Consider the following 15613-nt stretch of genomic DNA (forward strand, 5'->3'; position numbering starts at 1 on the left):
CACTCCCCGGAGACAGAGCAGAGCAAGGCACGGGAGCCCAGGAGCAGGCAGTGGGCGCAAGTGCTTTATTCAAAGCGAGGGGTGGGGGGTGAGACCCGCCAGCAGGGGCCTGGGGCAAGAGGCGGGGCCAAGCTCACACAGGGAGAGGGGCAAGAATCAATTCTGTTCTTCAGGGTCACAGGCAGCAGGCAAGAGAGTTGGGGGGCCGGGTCCAGCGCCCACTGTGCCCTCAGGGAGCCTCCCCAGGGCAGCATTGCATAGTGACCAGCCGACTGGCCTTAGCCTGACCTGCGCTGAGTGGGGGAGGCCCTGCCTCCCTGCCGGGCACCTTTGGGGAAGGGGTGCGTGAAGGCATTGGCAGGCCCTGCAATATGAGCCGAAAGACCCCTGGACCCAAGGGGGAGGCTGGTCAGGGGCAGGGCTGGGGCTCAGGCGTCCTCAAGAGTCCACAGAGAAAAGACGCAAGACAAAGTCAGACGAGGCCTATAGCAAACCCACTCGGTCCGCTACAAAGAACATGAGATGAGGGCTGCAAAGTGGCAAAGTGGCTTTATGCGCAGGCTCTGGGCCGAGTACCAGGAGAAGGTGCCTCCGGAGGAGGCCGGGATGCGGCTGGGGCTGTCTGGCACGGGGACCTTCGTGGCCAGCCACGTGGCCTTGGGACGCCCGCGTCCAGCCAGGGCTGAGGACCCAGGCCAGAGCCCCTCCCGCCCAGCACCCGCGACGCCAGCCTGGATGCTGGGGTCACTAAGTGAGGTACTCGTTGGTTCCCTGGATGGGCCACCCTTTCTGCCCTGGGAGGAGGCTCTGGGGTGTGCAGGAGGGAGCCAGCTAACAGGTCAGTGTTCTGGGCAGAAGTGGGGCACGAAGTAACACAGGCCCTGAGGACACAGGGACACAGGTGACACGGGCCTTAAAAGTGGCTTGTGACATGAGCAACCCAGGCCCCTGAAAAGGGGTGACCTGAAGACAGAGGTTCCCCAGGTGGGGTGAGGGACACCCGACGATGCAGCACCCCCCCAGGGAAACGTGAGGCTTCAAGAGACTCAGTGTGGGGCCCTCGCTCTCCTCCTGGGCGAGCAGGGCCGCGGCGCCCCAGCACTGGGGCTGCCAGGTATCGACCCGCGGGTCACACGCAGGGCCGCGGCCGGGTGGGCGCCAGGGACTTCGGGGCATGCGGGGCGTCGGGCCGGGCGGGGTGGCAGCTGCCCGGCCTGCCCGGCCCTAGCTCTCTTCCAGGTGGAGGCTGATGAACTCCTGGATACACCTGCGGAACTGGAGCTCCGTGGGGCTGCCCGCCAGGGCGCCCGGGGGACCAGGGGCAGCCTCGGCCTCGCGCATTTCCTCCGCCATGCGCGCCAGACGGAGCCTACGGGGAGGCACAGCGTGAGACGCCCCTGCCCTGGAGGCCCCGCCCCTGCCCTGGAGGCCCCGCCCCTGCCCTGGAGGCCCCGCCCAGCCCCGAGGGCCCGGCCGCGCTCACAGTGTCACGATGTCAGCGTTGGCCGCCTGCACTGCGATGGCCAACGGGTCCCGCTGCTCTTGGTCCAGGGCGTGCTGGTCCGCGCCCCGCTTCAGGAACAGGCAAACCTGGCTGAGGGGCGAGGTCGGAGGGGCGTGTCGGGGCGGGGCGGGGCGGGGCGAGTGTGGTCGCGGGGGCGTGGCCGGATAGGGCATGGCGGACAGGGCGTAGCCGGGCCGGGGTAGGCGTGGTCGGGGCACAGGGCGGGGCGTGGGTTGCGCGTCTCACCCGGTGCGGCCCAGCAGCGTGGCGTGGTGCAGGGGCGCCCGGCCCCGGCTGTCTCTTTGGTTCACGTCCGCTCCGTTTTGCAGCAGGAACTCACAGACGATCAAGGAGCCCTGGGGAGCCGGGGCAACTCAGACGGAGCCACGGCACCGGCCCCTCTCCGCGCCTCTGCACCCTGACCCCGGCCTTGGGCGCCCCCAGCCGGGACCGAACGTGGTCCCCACCGCGGACAGGCGACCCTTGTGTGGGCGCCACAGAAGATGCAAACGCGACTGTGCACCTGTGTCCTGCGCGCAGCCCCCGTGGCTCGCTCACCCCTAGCACGGCCTGCACCAGCGGCGTCTTGCCCTCATCCTCCGCGTCCGCCCAGTTGACCTCGGCCCCGTGGGCCAGCGCCGCCGCCAGCGCAGGAAGGTCGCGGGCACGCGCTGCGCGGTGCGCCAAGAGCCCCGGGTGCAGCTCGCGCACGTCCGCCAGGCCCCAGGCCTCGGCCTCAGTGTCCCCGTCTGCCTCACCGCTGGACTCCTCCGACTCTGCACCCTCTGTGGGGAGGGGGCGGTCAGGGAAAGCAACCCCCGGGGCTGCCCAGGGGCTGGGCAGGGGCCTCGGGCGAGGGCAAGACGCCACCCACCCTCCTCAGTGACGCTGTCCACCACAGAGCCCGAGCCGAAAGCCAGGACGTCCGAGCTGCCATCCGAGCTGCCCCCAAGGCCACTGTCGCTACTCAGACCTGCAGGTCCGCAGGGAAGGGGGTCCTGAGGGTGGGAGGCCCAGACTCCGTCCAGAGCCCTGGGGCAAGGCTGGAACTCCACCCACCCTCCAGGGGCCACCCCTAGGGACAGGACCAGCTCCCACCCAGGGCCGGGGGGAGCCAGCTGCAGGCTAGGAGCAAAGGAGAGAAAACCAAATAACAGCTCAAAGGTGCCAGGGGTAGCCCCCTAAAGCCCAGGCCTTTTGGGAAGCCCTTCCCTCCCGCTCGCCGCCTTACCCGGCACCCCCCGCAGTGGGCCCCCCAGCCCCGTCTGTGGCTGGCCCAGGCTGAAATGTCTCCACCCAACCAACGGGCAGCATGGCTCCAGAAGGGCCCTAGGCTGAGGGCCGGCTGGCAGCGCCCTCTGCTTCCCCAGCACCCCGGGCCACCCGCTGTGTGCACACACCCAGGTGCACACAGCCCACACACACATTTGCACAGCTCACCCCTGACAGTCAGGGCCTTGGCCTCCAGCTGTGTGGCCAGGAGGCCCCCCGCCCCTTCAGATGCTGCTCCATTCCCTGGCAAGGGCCATCCACACTCAGGCACCCTTCAGGCCAGCCTCCTTGGCCCTGCCCTGCCACCTGGCTGGGCCCACCCCACACTTACTGCGAGGGCCAGCCCCTGCGGCCCCTGCGTCGAAGTAGGAGAAGAGCGAGTCCAGCTCGTCGGGACAGAAGAGGGAGTCTCGGCGGAACTTACGATCCAGGGTGCCCACTGCAGGGGCAGTGCGTGTTCAGAGTGTGGAACAGGCCCGGGGTGGGGCAGGGAACCCCAGGTCACGCCGGGAGTCTGCGGAGCCTGAGGTGCCCCCAGAGCCCTGCCACCAGCCCCTTGACGGAGTCCATCCCCGACCAAGGCAAGCCCCTCCCAGCCCTGCCGGGGCATGGCCTCCCACCTGAGGACAGAGCGGCCACACAGGGCAGAACGGGCTCAAGCCGGACCTTGCGGCGGGCAGTGGGAGCGCGGGGAGAGCTGTGGGGCCGCAGGCACTTCTGCACCCTCCAGCGTCTTGGGGCCTCCAGGGCTGGTGCCATGGGCGCCTTCCGCAGAAACTTCTTTTCCACGTATTTGTCCTTGATCCAGGCCTCCTTGTCCTGCCTGGACCAGGGGGGAACATGAGGCTGTGCCCCCAGGCTGGGGCTCCCTGACTGATCCAGACTGTACCCCACCTCACCGGGAGCTGCTGGCTGTGGGTTTCCTGCTGCCTGCACCCTCACACTGGGCCTCATAGATCTGATTCACAGCGCTGTTTCCAAGCTCACACATCAGCTAGCGGGAGACAGGGCGAGCAGGCATCAGTGCGAACCTGCAGACCCCAGCTCCCGCCCCCACAAACGGGGTCCCGTGGCCTCCAGGAGCCCCACACGCACCTTTAGCAGCTCAGGCTCCCACGAGTCCAGCGTCAGGGACCGCACCTTGGAGCAGTGGACACCCAGGCTCCTGGAGAGCAGAGGTAGGGATGAGTCTGGGGGAGGCAAGGCCCCCAGCTCCGGCCCAACCCCCACCCCCGGCCTGGCCCTCAGGGGCCCACCTGTGGATGCTCCAGCCCAACCCCCACCCCCAGCCTGGCCCTCAGGGGCCCACCTGTGGATGCCGGAGCACTCAATGCAGAGCAGCACGCCCAGGTTGATGCTGGCCCAGCGGGGGTCCGGCTGGCCGCAGTCGCCGCACTGGCTGTTGCCGGCCACACTCTGCACACGCTGCAGCACACTCTCGCCCTTCACGCCACGCTCCCGAGTGTCGGTGGCGGAGTCGATGCTGCTCGTGGACGGGGATGCTGTGCGGTCCAGCCTCTGGAGGATGGGGTGGAGCTGCTCGGTCCCGCAGGGGCTCCAGCATGGTTTCCCCAGCAGGCCCCCTCCTCCCCAGCCAGAAGAGCCAATGCAGGCCAGGGCCCCTCGAGCACACGCCCGCACACGCACGTACACGCGCACACCCTCACGTGGGCAGATGGCCCCCCCCTCGAGCACACGCCCGCACACGCACACACGCGCACACCCTCACGTGGACAGGTGGCGCCGAGCACACGCCCGCACACGCACGTACGTGTGCACACCCTCACGTGGGCAGATGGTGCCGAGCACACTCCCACACGCGCGTGTATACGTGCACACCCTCACATGGGCAGATGGTACCTGCACACACATGCACATCCACACTGCACAAGCCAGCATGCCAGTGCACACCAGCACACACCCAGCTTGCAGGAGCCACACACAGGCGTGTGCACGTGTGTGGGGCAGGGGCCATCCCCAGTGGCACGTAGGTGTGTGCACCGGCACGGGGCAGGGGCCATCCCCAGTGGCACGTGTGTGTGTGCACAGGCGCGGGGCAGGGGCCATCCCCAGTGGCACGTGTGTGTGTGCACAGGCGCGGGGCAGGGGCCATCCCCGGTGGCACATGTGTGCACGGGCTTGGGGCAGGGGCCATCCCCGGTGGCACGTGTGTGTGTGCACAGGCGCGGGGCAGGGGCCATCCCCGGTGGCACGTGTGTGTGTGCACGGGCTTGGGGCAGGGGCCATCCCCGGTGGCACGTGTGTGTGTGCACAGGCACGGGGCAGGGGCCATCCCCAGTGGCACGTGTGTGTGTGCACAGGCGCGGGGCAGGGGCCATCCCCGGTGGCACATGTGTGCACGGGCTTGGGGCAGGGGCCATCCCCGGTGGCACGTGTGTGTGTGCACAGGCGCGGGGCAGGGGCCATCCCCGGTGGCACGTGTGTGTGTGCACGGGCTTGGGGCAGGGGCCATCCCCGGTGGCACGTGTGTGTGTGCACAGGCACGGGGCAGGGGCCATCCCCAGTGGCACGTGTGTGTGTGCACAGGCGCGGGGCAGGGGCCATCCCCGGTGGCACGTGTGCACGGGCACGGGGCAGGGGCCATCCCCGGTGGCACGTGTGTGTGTGCACAGGCGCGGGGCAGGGGCCATCCCCGGTGGCACGTGTGTGTGCACGGGCTTGGGGCAGGGGCACCAAGGGCCACACCTCGCTATAGCAACTGTCAGGGCTCTCGCGGTAGGCGGAGGCGATGCTGGCCTGCACAGCCTGGACCCAGGCTTGCCGCAGCTTCTCGGAGTCAGCCTGCAGCATGCAGCTCCTGCAGGCAGTGGAGGGGCGGGCGTCAGCTCCGGTGGGCAGGTACGCCCCCCGCCCCACCCTGGGCTGGGCCTCCTCACTTGGTGGGTGACAGCACCTCGAAGCAGAACCTCCGCTCGATGTCCTCACACGGCTTCACAGAGCACAGGCGGAGGTCATCCACCACCACGGTGAGGGCATCCTGTGGGCGGCACCGCTGTGGCCCCTGCCCTCAGCCACCACCCGGCCCCGACCACCCACTTCCTGCTTCACCTTGGAGACCCGGAGGCCGACTGCCTGAGCCCCAAGCCCCGTGTCCAGCTCTCTGCTCCCTGACTGTTCCGGCTCCGGCGTCCACTAGTGCCCCGGCCCTGTGCTAACCCCAACTGACCAGTCTGCCCTGTGGCCCAGGTGGGGCGTCCAGCCATCAGGGCCCCAGCCCCAGGCCCAGGGCACACCTTGAGCTTCTTCTGGTAGACCAGCTGGCTGTTCTGAATGGAGAACCAGCGCCTAGGTGGGTGGGGGGATGTGGGGAGTCAGGCGGGGCCCATCCCAGGGCTGCTGTGACCCCTGCCCCCACCTGAGGACCCCACCCCCGCCTGAGGACCCCACCCCCGCCTAAGGACCCCGCCCCCACCTGAGGAAGGCCTCTCACCGGTTCCATGTCTTGAAAGCGTTGCTGGCCCTCTTGAAGAGGTAGCCCTCCATCACCACCCCACTGGGCGCGTCCACGTCAAACTCCACTTTGGACTCATCGTAGGAGAAGTCCTGGGGGGATGGAACCCGCCCCCTCAGTGCCCACCCCAGGGGCCCTGCTACCCTCCGTGCTTTCCCGGAGCACAGGTGGGGGTGAGGTCCTTGTCTGAGGCTGCCACACGGCCCACGGACCACACGCTCAGACGAGAGACCCTCTGTTCACCACAGCCACTTCTTGACCTGAGCAAGGCCCCCAGCCCTGCAACCCGTGGGGCAGACCCCTCACGTTCACAGCTGGGGGCCCGAGAGTGCCGGCCCCACCCCAGCCCTGCAGGGACCAGCAGGCTGCGATCAGGAAGGAAGCTGCGCCCCCACCCTCCGCATCCTGAGTGCCCCATTCATGTGGCCAGCTGGGCGGACAGAGCCCCATTCAGGAGGCCTGGGAGTCACTGAGGGCCCTGTGTGTCCCGCCATCTGGCAGGCCAGGGAAGCAGAGGGGAGGGGCGGCCACCTGCTCCCCAGGCCACATGGGATGGGAAGGGACAGCTGCCGCCAACCCCACGGGGAATGTGGAGGTCTGGCCGGAGCCAGCCCCTCACAGCCGCATCAGCAGCAGGAGCCGAGACTGGTGGGAGGTGTCCTTGGTGCTGAAGTGCCCTTGGGGTAGAGGAGGGAAAGGCACCGCCCCATCTGGTCTCCCCCGACCCACAGCCCGCCCAGGGCCCGTGCTCACTTACCTGCAGCAGCGTCTGGAGGGCCGGAGCAGGAGGGGGTAGGGGGAGAAAGCCAGTGAGTGACGGCTGCCAACTCCTGGTGACTGGTGGACCCGTCCCCAACTCCTGGTGACTGGTGGACCCGTCCCCAACTCCTGGGGGGCTCTCCCCTATCCCAAAATAGCCACTCCTGCCTGCAGCCAACCTCTGCCCGGGATGGTGGCCGGGGCTGCTGTCCCACAGGCAAGCAAAGGCCCCGCAAGGAGCCAGTGACTGAGGCCACAGAGGTGACCACCGCCTCAAAAGGAGATCCCAGCAGCGGCCCCACCCACACGTGCCCCTCCACTGCACACATCAAAGGGAGCAGCCTTGGTCCCCTAGAGAGGGTGTGGGCAGGGCAGGTGGGAGACAGGCAGGAGGAAGGGGCGGGGAGGGTGTGCCGGGCATGGGGTGAGGACGCAGGGGCCTCCCAGGCGCCTGGTGTGCAGGGAGCCGGCTGCGCGGCCTCACCCGCTGCTGGATGGCGGCGTGCTTTCGCTCCATCTCACGCTTTTCCACCGCAGAGTCGATCACCAGCTGGTCCAGCTGTTGGGGGTGGCATTAGGGAAGGTCACGGAGGCCTGGCCCAGCCCCACCCCTCCCAAAGGCTCACCTCGGCTGCCAGCTTCTTCATGTAGGGGTCCAGCTGGTGCAGGAGGCTGTAGCCCTGCTGGAAGAAGCTGGACTGGGCGTGCATGAAGGACAGCATCTGCGGGGGCAGCACAGGTGAGGCCCAAGCACACCCGGTCCAGCCCCCAACATGCAGCCTGTGCTCAGGGGCAGCCCCCACGCACTCACAGAGTCCAGGATCTCAAACTTCTTCTTGGCCTGCAGAACATTGATCTGCCAGAGGGGGAGCCCACAGGTGAGCCCCGGAGGCTGAGGCAGCCCCAAGCCCTGCACCTGCCATAGAGTCCACCTGAGCTGCTTGTGGTTCCCTGAGACCCCCAGGTCGTCTTCAGCTCCCAGCTCTGGGCCAGCCTCATCCTCCCATGGTCCTGGACTGCTTCCCCATGTCTGGAGTTCCCACCCATGGGCAAAGCAAGAATCGTCACTCCTGCTCAAAATCCCTCCAGTTCTGTACAAGGCCGTTGAGGCCTCCATTCGCTACAGCTGGTCCCCGCCCCCCAGCCCATTTCTGGGGCTGACCTGGAGCACATAGTCCAGTGCCAGGTGGCGGAAGCACTTCCTGGTGAGGGTGAGGGCCCCGGTGGCTTCCTCCACCTCGTGGGGCCGGTGCCTCGGGGCCTGGGCGTTCCTCACCAGGGACAGCTCCAGGTCCTCCCGCACCTTGTCAAACTGCTTCTTTGTCTCCTTGAACTTCCGCACATCCCTGGAGGCCAAGTGCCAGGTGGGGTGAGAGATCAGGGAGGGCACCTGCTGGATCCTGGAGTCTCCCACATCGTTGTTTGTGTGTTTTTTGTTTTTTGAGACGGAGTTTCGCTCTTGTCACCCAGGCTGGAGTGCAATGGTGCTGTCTCGGCTCACCGCAATCTCTGCCTCGCGAGTTCAAGTGATTCTCCTGCCTCAGCTTCCCTAGCAGCTGGGATTACAGGCATGCGCCACCAGGCCTAATTTTGTATTTTTAGTAGAGATGGGGTTTCTCCAGGTTGGTCAGGCTGGTCTTGAACTCCCGACCTCAGGTGATTCACCCACCTCGGTCTCCCAACGTGCTGGGATTACAGGCGTGAGCCACTGCGCCTGGCCTGGTTTTGTTTGTTTGAGACAGGGTCTGTCTCTGTTGCCCAGGCTGGAGGCTGGAGTGCAGTGGCACAGTTATGGCTCACTGCAGCCTCTACCTCCCAGGCTCAAGCAATTCTCCCACCTCGGCCTCCCAAGTAGCTGAGGCTACAGGTGCGTGCCACCATATAAGGCTTATTTTTGGTTCTTGGGGGTGTCTTTTTTTTTTTTTTTTTTTTTGATGGAGTCTCTCTCTGTCACCCAGGCTGGAGTGCAGTAGCACAATCATGGCTCACTGCTGCCTCCGCCTCCTGGGCTCAACTGATCCTCCCACCTCATCCTCCTGAATAGCTGGGACCATAGGCACGTGCCACCATGCCCATCTAATTTTTTTTTTTTTTTTTTTTTGTAGAGATGGAGGTCTCATTACGTTGCCCAGGCTGGTCTCAAACTCCTGGCATTCTCTGGCCTTGGCCTCCCAAACGCTGGGATTACAGGTGTGAGCCACCATGCCCAGCCCCACCCCCCTCCACTCCAGGCCCTTTCTTTGCTCCTGGGCATAGCCTCCTTCCTCACCAGCCTATCCCAGGCCTGCCCGCACCCCTGCTGACCCCGATCATCTGCTCCAGGCCTCCCCAGCCCCTCCCCACCTCACTCTCAAGATCTGTCCAGCCCAGACCCCAGCCATGCCCCAGACTCCAGACCCCCAAACCCAACGTGGACTGGACCTCTCTGCTGTGGGGGCTGGACACCCCACCCACACATGCAGGGTGTGGAACCCCCCGCACTCCACCCGGCTGTCTGCCTCTGAGCCTTCTGCCTTGTGGAGCCGCTGCACAGCCTGGAGGCCTGGGCCCAAGGTGCCTCTGCTCTGCCCCAGACCCCCTTCCCCTCCAAGGGAGGGAGCGTGGCCTCAGTGTTCTTCCCCCAGCCCTGGGGGCCACTCACTCTTTGACAAAGCTCTGGAGCTGCTGCCGCACGGACCTCTGGGCCTGGTCAAACAGGATCTGGGGGCAGAGGCGGGCAGAGATCCTTGGGGTCTGTCCCGAAAGAGCCCCAGATGGAAGGCCCCATCCTCACCAGCAGAGGGCACTGCCCCCAGGCCCAGATGCAGGGGCGGGTCCCACCCTGCAGGGCTGGCCTCAAGGGGGTCAGGGGAGCAGCCCCCAGGCCTGAGTTGGCACTCAGAGGCGATGGCTGTCACCCCTGCCCCTCTGTCCCACCTGGCCCTTGATGAGTGCAGAGGCCAAGGCTGCCTCATCACAGCCTGAGCCGGAGCCCCACTGCCTCCTGGCCCTGGGCGGCCACCCTGGGGTGCCCATCCCTGCAGCAGGGAGCACTCAGCCAGAGCCGGGAGCACCCAGGGGCTGGGCCTGGGGAGCTGGAGCCTGGGCTCTGAATCGGAACCCGAAGTAGAGAAGGACCGGGCACAACCAGGAGCAAAGGGACGGCTGAGCCATCCTGCCTTGTCTACTTCGGGACCTCCTCTGTTCAGTCTGCGGCTCAGGTTCCCAGGCTGCAGCCCCACATCTCACGGGTGCCTGTCCTGTGTGTCCATCCACGTCAGTGCCAGGGCCCCCGGGGGCCACCCAGACCCAAATGGCAGCCAGGCCAGCCTGGGACGAGAGCCCTGCCCAGTTGGGGGAACCCTGGATAAACCACCCCTCCCCCAGGGTCTAGTGTGGCCCTTGCCTGGGACACGGCAGAGCCCCCAGGGCTGTCCCCCAACCCCACACTGACTTGAAAATGTGGGATTCCCCCCCCCCCCGACTAGAGGAGCAGAAACGTGCCCCCCCCAACCCGACGCCGGCCTTCAGGTGAGCCAGCGCAGCTCGGTTCCAGGCCAGGCACAGCCCACAGGTGGCAGGGAGGCCGCGCTCACCATGTGGTAGTTCACCACCTCCTGTAGGCTGTCAGCGAACCTCTGCAGACATTCCTGGAGGAGCAGATGGGAACCCGTGCTGAGATGGCAAATCCGGGCCCAGGTCACCCAGCCACGCCCTCTGAGCCCCTGGGCGGTGCAGACACCGGCCTGCTTCTGGCCTGGACGCCCTCAAGGGGCTGCCTCCCTCGGCCTCTCCCCCAACCCCACCTTGAGGTCAGAGGTCAGTCGGCCCCTCACCGAGATGACGGTGTCGCCCTGGCACTGCTGGGACAGGTCGCGGACGCCGCTCACGAAAAGCCTGCTGGTGCTGACGTAGGCCTTACCGGCTTCCACCATGCCACTGCACAGCTTCACCAGCTGTGGGCCAGCGGGGCGTGGTGAGCACAGTGGGCACTGGCGCCTGCACTCGCCACCACACACGGCCACTCAGAGGCAGGAAGAGCTCCCAGGGTAGGTTCCACTCAGGGCGTTGGCACTCAGGACTCAGTGCCCCGGTGCAGCTTCCTCACGCCTGGGCCTGCCTGGGGCTTGGAGGCCCGTCTGGGAGGGGAGGGTGGGGCCGCCACGGCTCGGCTGGGAGGGACCAGGAGCCAGGCAGGGGACCCAGGGCCAGCAGGACCAGCAGAACCAGCCCATGTGGGGCTCATGGATAAGGCTGCCCACTCCCAGCTCCACGGCCTGTTGCCCCCTCCTCTTTCTCAGCCCATGTGGGGCTCATGGACACGGCTCCCCTCTCCACGGCCTGTTGCCCCCTCTTTCTCAGCCCATGTGGGGCTCATGGACACGGCTCCCCCCTCCACGGCCTGTTGCCCCCTCCCCTTTCTCAGCCCCAGCCCCAGCCACACCAAGGCTCAGCCCACACAGCAGCTGTCCCCGTGTCACCAGCCCAGCAGAGGGGACGGGCAGCCACCGTGGGTCGGGGACTCACCACAGCCCAGCCCCTCCCAGATGGGACGAGACTCAGGGCCAGCCACATGTGTGCATGTGACATGTGCACCCTGGAACACACATGCTAAGACACAGGGACCAGGACCTGGAGCACCACACGCATGCTCCACATATGGGGGGTGTAAGTGGCTTAGTAAGGCCTGGAGGGCGAGTCTGGCCATGTGGCCATCCCAAGCTTGGCCGGGCACAGGGCGCTCCAGGCCCGCCCTTCACCTTGTCCAGTTTGGCCTCAATCTCCACCACGTCCGTCTCCACCTCGTCAATGGTCGCCCTAAAGCAAGAACGGGGCTGGCTGGGGTCACCTGCAGCCTCAGCCCCCTCGGGGCTTCACCTCCCCCCGCACCTCCCTGAGGGGCTCCACCATGGGAAGGGGCTTTCAGGAAACAGGCTGGGAGACAGACGCCTGCCTGCTACGGGGGCAGGACTGGGACCAGGTTCAGTGCACTTCCCCCCGCCCCCCCAACCCCAGGCAGGCAGAGGCAGCCGCTGCTGTGCCCTCGGGGAAGAAGGCTGGACCAGCCTCTCCCAGGACAGCCGGCCGCTGGGAGTCCCTCAGGGACAGTGCCCACCAAGGGCTGAGCCAGCCTCACCCGCCTCTCCTCTAGGAGTTCAGAGTCAACCCTGGACCCATCTGGAGCCCCTCAACCCTGCGGCACCTCCCCTCACCCCACTGCACTACTGCAGCCCATCCAGGTCTGGCACCCATGCACTGTGGGACAGGGTGGGGGCAGTAGGGCAGCTGCTCTCGGTCCTGGCAGCACCAGGAGGACCCAGACCAGCTGGGGAGAGACGCCCCCGGCTCCCCCAACCTCACAGCTGCAAGCGGCATGGTCCGCTGGAAAGACGGGTAGGCCATCCTCCTCAGAGCCCACTCCCACCAGGACAGCCTGACAGTGGGGCTGCCTGGGGAGAGAAGAGTTAAGGCATGACATCACCAGAGAAGCCTCGGCGGGAGAATCCCCGGAAGACAGGAGGCAGATGGATCGGGCACGTGACCACCCCCTCCGGGAGCAGGCAACAGGGAAACAGGGCCAGGATCCCGGCAGCCCTCCACACAATCGGCTCACTGGCTGTCCGGGCCATCTGGCCTCCTGGGGATTGGGCACCACAGGGCCCGGGCTGGGGCCAGGACTCCAGGTCTAGGGCAGGGGTCCAGGAGCAGAGGCCATCAGGGCCTACAGTCCCTCGTACCTTGCTACCCTGACCGGTGTCCCAGGCCTCGGGGGAGGGGCCTGTGGTTTACATGGGGCGTGTCCTCAATTAGGAGCTGGAGCTGCAGGCACCAGGCTGCCCCAGCCAGGGACCTTGAAGGGTCCCAGCCACCCCAGAAGGACACTAGGTCCTCTCTGAGCAGCCCTCTCTTGTTCCCAAGGGGCTAAGAGGACTCTGAATCCCGAAGCAGGGGGCGATGGAGGGAATCTCGCTGTGGTGTCCGCTGACCGCCAGTGCCCAGCCTGCAGCCCCTGGACCCTGACCTCTACCTCAGCTGGAGGATCCCAGAACAGAGAAGGGACCATCCTCCCAGGAGAAGGCAGCAGAGAGCGCCACACCCCAGGAGTTGCAGCCACCCCTGAGCAGGGCCGGATGCAGAGACAGCTGCACCCAGAGCTGCCGCCCTCGGGTTTGGGGCGCCCGTGTCCCTGGAGAGCCAGCAAGGGGGGATGGCTGCACCCAGGAGCTCACGGACGTGCTCATGGGGACAGGGTGGGCCCTGGCAGAGGCCCCGAGAGCCGCTCCCACTGCTGGGAGCCCCTCAGCTCTCCCTTCCTCAGTCCTGGGGACCTAGGCCTCCTCTGCTGTGCTCAGCCCAGGATTTCCTCAGCAGCTTGGAGGACGGGGAGGAGGGTGAGGCTGCCCCCCAACCAAAGCCATGACTCAGCGCCTGAAGCCCCACCCAGGGGAGGGGCACACTGAACAGAGGCCAGGCGGTTCCCCTACACGGGCTCCCCTGGCCTCCGGCCCACTGCACCTGGGCTGCCACTAGGCCCTCCCCAGACCAGGAGGGTGCGGGCAGGGTCCCCCTCTCCCGGGCTGGGGCGACCAGGCTCCACGTTACAGACCACATCTTCCCGCCCACCCTGCCTGGCCCCCCAACCTGGCGGTAGGCCAGGAAACTCAAGTTACGCCCTTAGGGCCTGCCCCCAGGACAGCCTCAGGGAGCCCCTCGAACCCCAGTTAAATCACAGCCTAACCCCAAAACCCACTGGGCCAGGCCATTCTCATCTCCCCACTCCAGTCCATGCCCCACAGGGGTGAGGCACTTTCCCAGGGCAGTCACTCTACGGCACCTACTGCAGCCCCACAGCCCCCATAACTGGCTCCTGTAACAGGCTCCCATGAGAGCCGGTTACCAGAGAGAAGGCCCAGAGGTGAGTGGGTTCCAGCACCCCCACACGACTGGAAGAGGGCAGTACAGGGCCGTCTGCGTGGAGGAGGAGGTCCATTAGGCTTCTGACGGAGGGGCCAGGGAGAAGGTGGGTGCTTCAGCCAGGGTCCAGCCCCCAGCAGGGAGGCCATGCCCACACCTCCCCACAGCCCGGGTCCTCAATGCAGGATCCTAGGGTGCTCAAGTTATTCAACCCCTTTTCCCAGGTCAGCAACAGAAGATGGGAGAGCAGAGGATGGCCCCAGTTCCTCTGCCCAGGGCTGGCGGCCACTCTCCTGGCTGGCCCTGAGCCTCCCACTCCAAGGCTCCTGAGCCTCCTGGTGAGGGCTCCAGGGATACAGAGGCTCCCCGTGCCTCCACACACATGCTGACTTGCCAGCAGATCCCAAGAGACCCAGCGCGCGCGTGCACACCCACACATACACAATCAAGCACACATGTGCAAACATGTTCATGCACAAACATGCCTGCACACACTGGTACCACACATACATGTGTGTTCAAGGAGACACTGCACAGACACGCATCAACATGTGTACCTAGTGATGGAACACGCGTGTACAAGGTGATGTGTCTATTGCTGACATGGCTAACACAGTACGTGAACCCACACAGACAGGTGGTGTGTGCACACGCTTGCGTGCACTCATCGGCAGGCTACATGCAGAAGCAAGCACAGCCCCGTGGCACAGCTCATCCACACGTCCTGTGCAAGGCCTGGTGTCCGGAGGGAGGCACGCAGAGGGGCAAAGTTCACAAGAGCGCACCCCGCACGAGCTCGTGCAGAGGAGGGGGCCTCACGCAGGTGCGCACTTGGGGATGCAGAGAGGTTTCTTTGCCTCCATTGTCGTTTGCCAAATGTCCACCAAGCAAAGCCGATGCACACTTGTGCACACGTCTGTGAACATGTAGTTCACGCAGGTGTACACGCCTGCACGCCACGAATGATGGAAAACATGCAGACTCGGTGTGCACACAACCCCTACCCCCTACCTGACCTTCCCCGCCGCTCTTCTCGGCCGCCACCCCTCCAAGCCCCTGGGTCATTCAAACCACTTCACGTTTCCAAGCACCCTACCCCAGGCCTTAAACGCGGCTCCAGCTGCCTGTTCCCCACGCGCTGCTCTGGACACAGGATCAAGTCAGAGACCAGGGGCCGACGCCCCCACGGACCCAGACGACCCTGGCCAGAGCTGGACTGCAGGGCCCGGGAGGGGCTCAGCCCAGTGGAGGTGCAGACACAGAGCGGGGGCGGACGGTCCCGAGGTGCCCACGGCTGCCCACGCGCACGCCCTCCACCCGGGGCGGCCGCACAGGGCAGGAGCGTCTTTTGTTCCAACCCCCGGGGCATGGCGGGGCGGGGCCGCCGCTTTGTCCGAGGCCGGTCCTCCAGCCCCTCCCCGGCGGCCGCGGCCCGGCCCGGCGCTGACCTCCCCACCCCGCCGCCGGGCACAAAGGCGACAGCGACGCCCCCGGCCTGCGCCCACCCCGGCGGCCCCGGGCGGCGCACCTGAAGCGCGGGGAGTCCTTGACGCACTCCTCGAACTCCACGGTCATGGCTGCGGCGGCCGCGGCGCTCACTGGCACGAGGACCGCGGCGCCGAGCGGCAGCCGCGCCGGCCCGGACCGCTCGTCCCGCCCGCGCCGCCTCGGCGCCCGCCCGCCCCGGAATGAGGCCGCCGCGCCGCGCCCCG

The 15613-nt window shown here is 66.6% G+C and overlaps 1 protein-coding gene and 2 non-coding genes across 10 annotated transcripts, besides 10 other annotated features; all 3 read right to left on the bottom strand.

Moving 5' to 3' along the window:
• ACAP3 (ArfGAP with coiled-coil, ankyrin repeat and PH domains 3) lies at positions 52 to 15591 on the bottom strand. 8 transcript variants are annotated; one of them, NM_030649.3, is made up of 24 exons: positions 15430 to 15591; positions 11747 to 11804; positions 10823 to 10942; positions 10583 to 10636; positions 9649 to 9707; positions 8170 to 8353; positions 7819 to 7863; positions 7634 to 7729; positions 7492 to 7566; positions 7006 to 7017; positions 6228 to 6340; positions 6031 to 6082; positions 5674 to 5774; positions 5483 to 5594; positions 4086 to 4294; positions 3872 to 3941; positions 3676 to 3770; positions 3397 to 3599; positions 3108 to 3215; positions 2379 to 2477; positions 2063 to 2289; positions 1751 to 1860; positions 1484 to 1594; positions 52 to 1369 (listed from the first exon to the last, which is right to left on the bottom strand). In NM_030649.3, exons 1-24 carry the CDS (start codon positions 15474 to 15476, stop codon positions 1225 to 1227), a joined length of 2505 nt encoding a protein of 834 aa, NP_085152.2. In that variant the 5' UTR covers positions 15477 to 15591; the 3' UTR covers positions 52 to 1224. The 8 variants fall into 8 exon arrangements, with proteins under 8 accessions (NP_085152.2, XP_011538908.1, XP_024308761.1 ...); XM_011540606.3 differs by having other exon boundaries at positions 10793 to 10942; XM_024452993.2 differs by lacking the exon at positions 15430 to 15591 and adding an exon at positions 12343 to 12453.
• Positions 54 to 599: an enhancer, noted in NCBI's record as "H3K4me1 hESC enhancer chr1:1227773-1228318 (GRCh37/hg19 assembly coordinates)". NCBI's record gives its function as "activates a minimal SCP1, AML or CMV promoter by ChIP-STARR-seq in naive H9 embryonic stem cells {active_cell/tissue: H9 hESC(naive)}" and the evidence as "EXISTENCE:reporter gene assay evidence [ECO:0000049][PMID:30033119]".
• On the bottom strand, positions 3771 to 3831 carry MIR6726 (microRNA 6726). The gene has a single exon (NR_106784.1). It is a non-coding gene; the product is annotated as a microRNA 6726 (primary transcript).
• Positions 4844 to 5780: an enhancer, noted in NCBI's record as "H3K27ac-H3K4me1 hESC enhancer chr1:1232563-1233499 (GRCh37/hg19 assembly coordinates)". NCBI's record gives its function as "activates a minimal SCP1, AML or CMV promoter by ChIP-STARR-seq in naive H9 embryonic stem cells {active_cell/tissue: H9 hESC(naive)}" and the evidence as "EXISTENCE:reporter gene assay evidence [ECO:0000049][PMID:30033119]".
• Positions 9432 to 10033: an enhancer, noted in NCBI's record as "H3K4me1 hESC enhancer chr1:1237151-1237752 (GRCh37/hg19 assembly coordinates)". NCBI's record gives its function as "activates a minimal SCP1, AML or CMV promoter by ChIP-STARR-seq in naive H9 embryonic stem cells {active_cell/tissue: H9 hESC(naive)}" and the evidence as "EXISTENCE:reporter gene assay evidence [ECO:0000049][PMID:30033119]".
• Positions 10034 to 10633: an enhancer, noted in NCBI's record as "H3K27ac-H3K4me1 hESC enhancer chr1:1237753-1238352 (GRCh37/hg19 assembly coordinates)". NCBI's record gives its function as "activates a minimal SCP1, AML or CMV promoter by ChIP-STARR-seq in primed H9 embryonic stem cells {active_cell/tissue: H9 hESC(primed)}" and the evidence as "EXISTENCE:reporter gene assay evidence [ECO:0000049][PMID:30033119]".
• Positions 10634 to 11234: an enhancer, noted in NCBI's record as "H3K27ac-H3K4me1 hESC enhancer chr1:1238353-1238953 (GRCh37/hg19 assembly coordinates)". NCBI's record gives its function as "activates a minimal SCP1, AML or CMV promoter by ChIP-STARR-seq in naive H9 embryonic stem cells {active_cell/tissue: H9 hESC(naive)}" and the evidence as "EXISTENCE:reporter gene assay evidence [ECO:0000049][PMID:30033119]".
• Positions 11235 to 11834: an enhancer, noted in NCBI's record as "H3K27ac-H3K4me1 hESC enhancer chr1:1238954-1239553 (GRCh37/hg19 assembly coordinates)". NCBI's record gives its function as "activates a minimal SCP1, AML or CMV promoter by ChIP-STARR-seq in naive H9 embryonic stem cells {active_cell/tissue: H9 hESC(naive)}" and the evidence as "EXISTENCE:reporter gene assay evidence [ECO:0000049][PMID:30033119]".
• Positions 11835 to 12435: an enhancer, noted in NCBI's record as "H3K4me1 hESC enhancer chr1:1239554-1240154 (GRCh37/hg19 assembly coordinates)". NCBI's record gives its function as "activates a minimal SCP1, AML or CMV promoter by ChIP-STARR-seq in naive H9 embryonic stem cells {active_cell/tissue: H9 hESC(naive)}" and the evidence as "EXISTENCE:reporter gene assay evidence [ECO:0000049][PMID:30033119]".
• On the bottom strand, positions 12390 to 12473 carry SNORD167 (small nucleolar RNA, C/D box 167). The gene has a single exon (NR_145806.1). It is a non-coding gene; the product is annotated as a small nucleolar RNA, C/D box 167 (small nucleolar RNA).
• Positions 13456 to 13625: a silencer, noted in NCBI's record as "silent region_52". NCBI's record gives its function as "represses an Ori minimal core promoter by ATAC-STARR-seq in GM12878 lymphoblastoid cells {active_cell/tissue: GM12878}" and the evidence as "EXISTENCE:reporter gene assay evidence [ECO:0000049][PMID:35858748]".
• Positions 15140 to 15359: a silencer, noted in NCBI's record as "silent region_53". NCBI's record gives its function as "represses an Ori minimal core promoter by ATAC-STARR-seq in GM12878 lymphoblastoid cells {active_cell/tissue: GM12878}" and the evidence as "EXISTENCE:reporter gene assay evidence [ECO:0000049][PMID:35858748]".
• Positions 15410 to 15579: a silencer, noted in NCBI's record as "silent region_54". NCBI's record gives its function as "represses an Ori minimal core promoter by ATAC-STARR-seq in GM12878 lymphoblastoid cells {active_cell/tissue: GM12878}" and the evidence as "EXISTENCE:reporter gene assay evidence [ECO:0000049][PMID:35858748]".

The sequence above is a fragment of the Homo sapiens genome, chromosome 1 (assembly GCF_000001405.40).
Source record: "Homo sapiens chromosome 1, GRCh38.p14 Primary Assembly".
Lineage (NCBI taxonomy): Eukaryota > Metazoa > Chordata > Mammalia > Primates > Hominidae > Homo > Homo sapiens.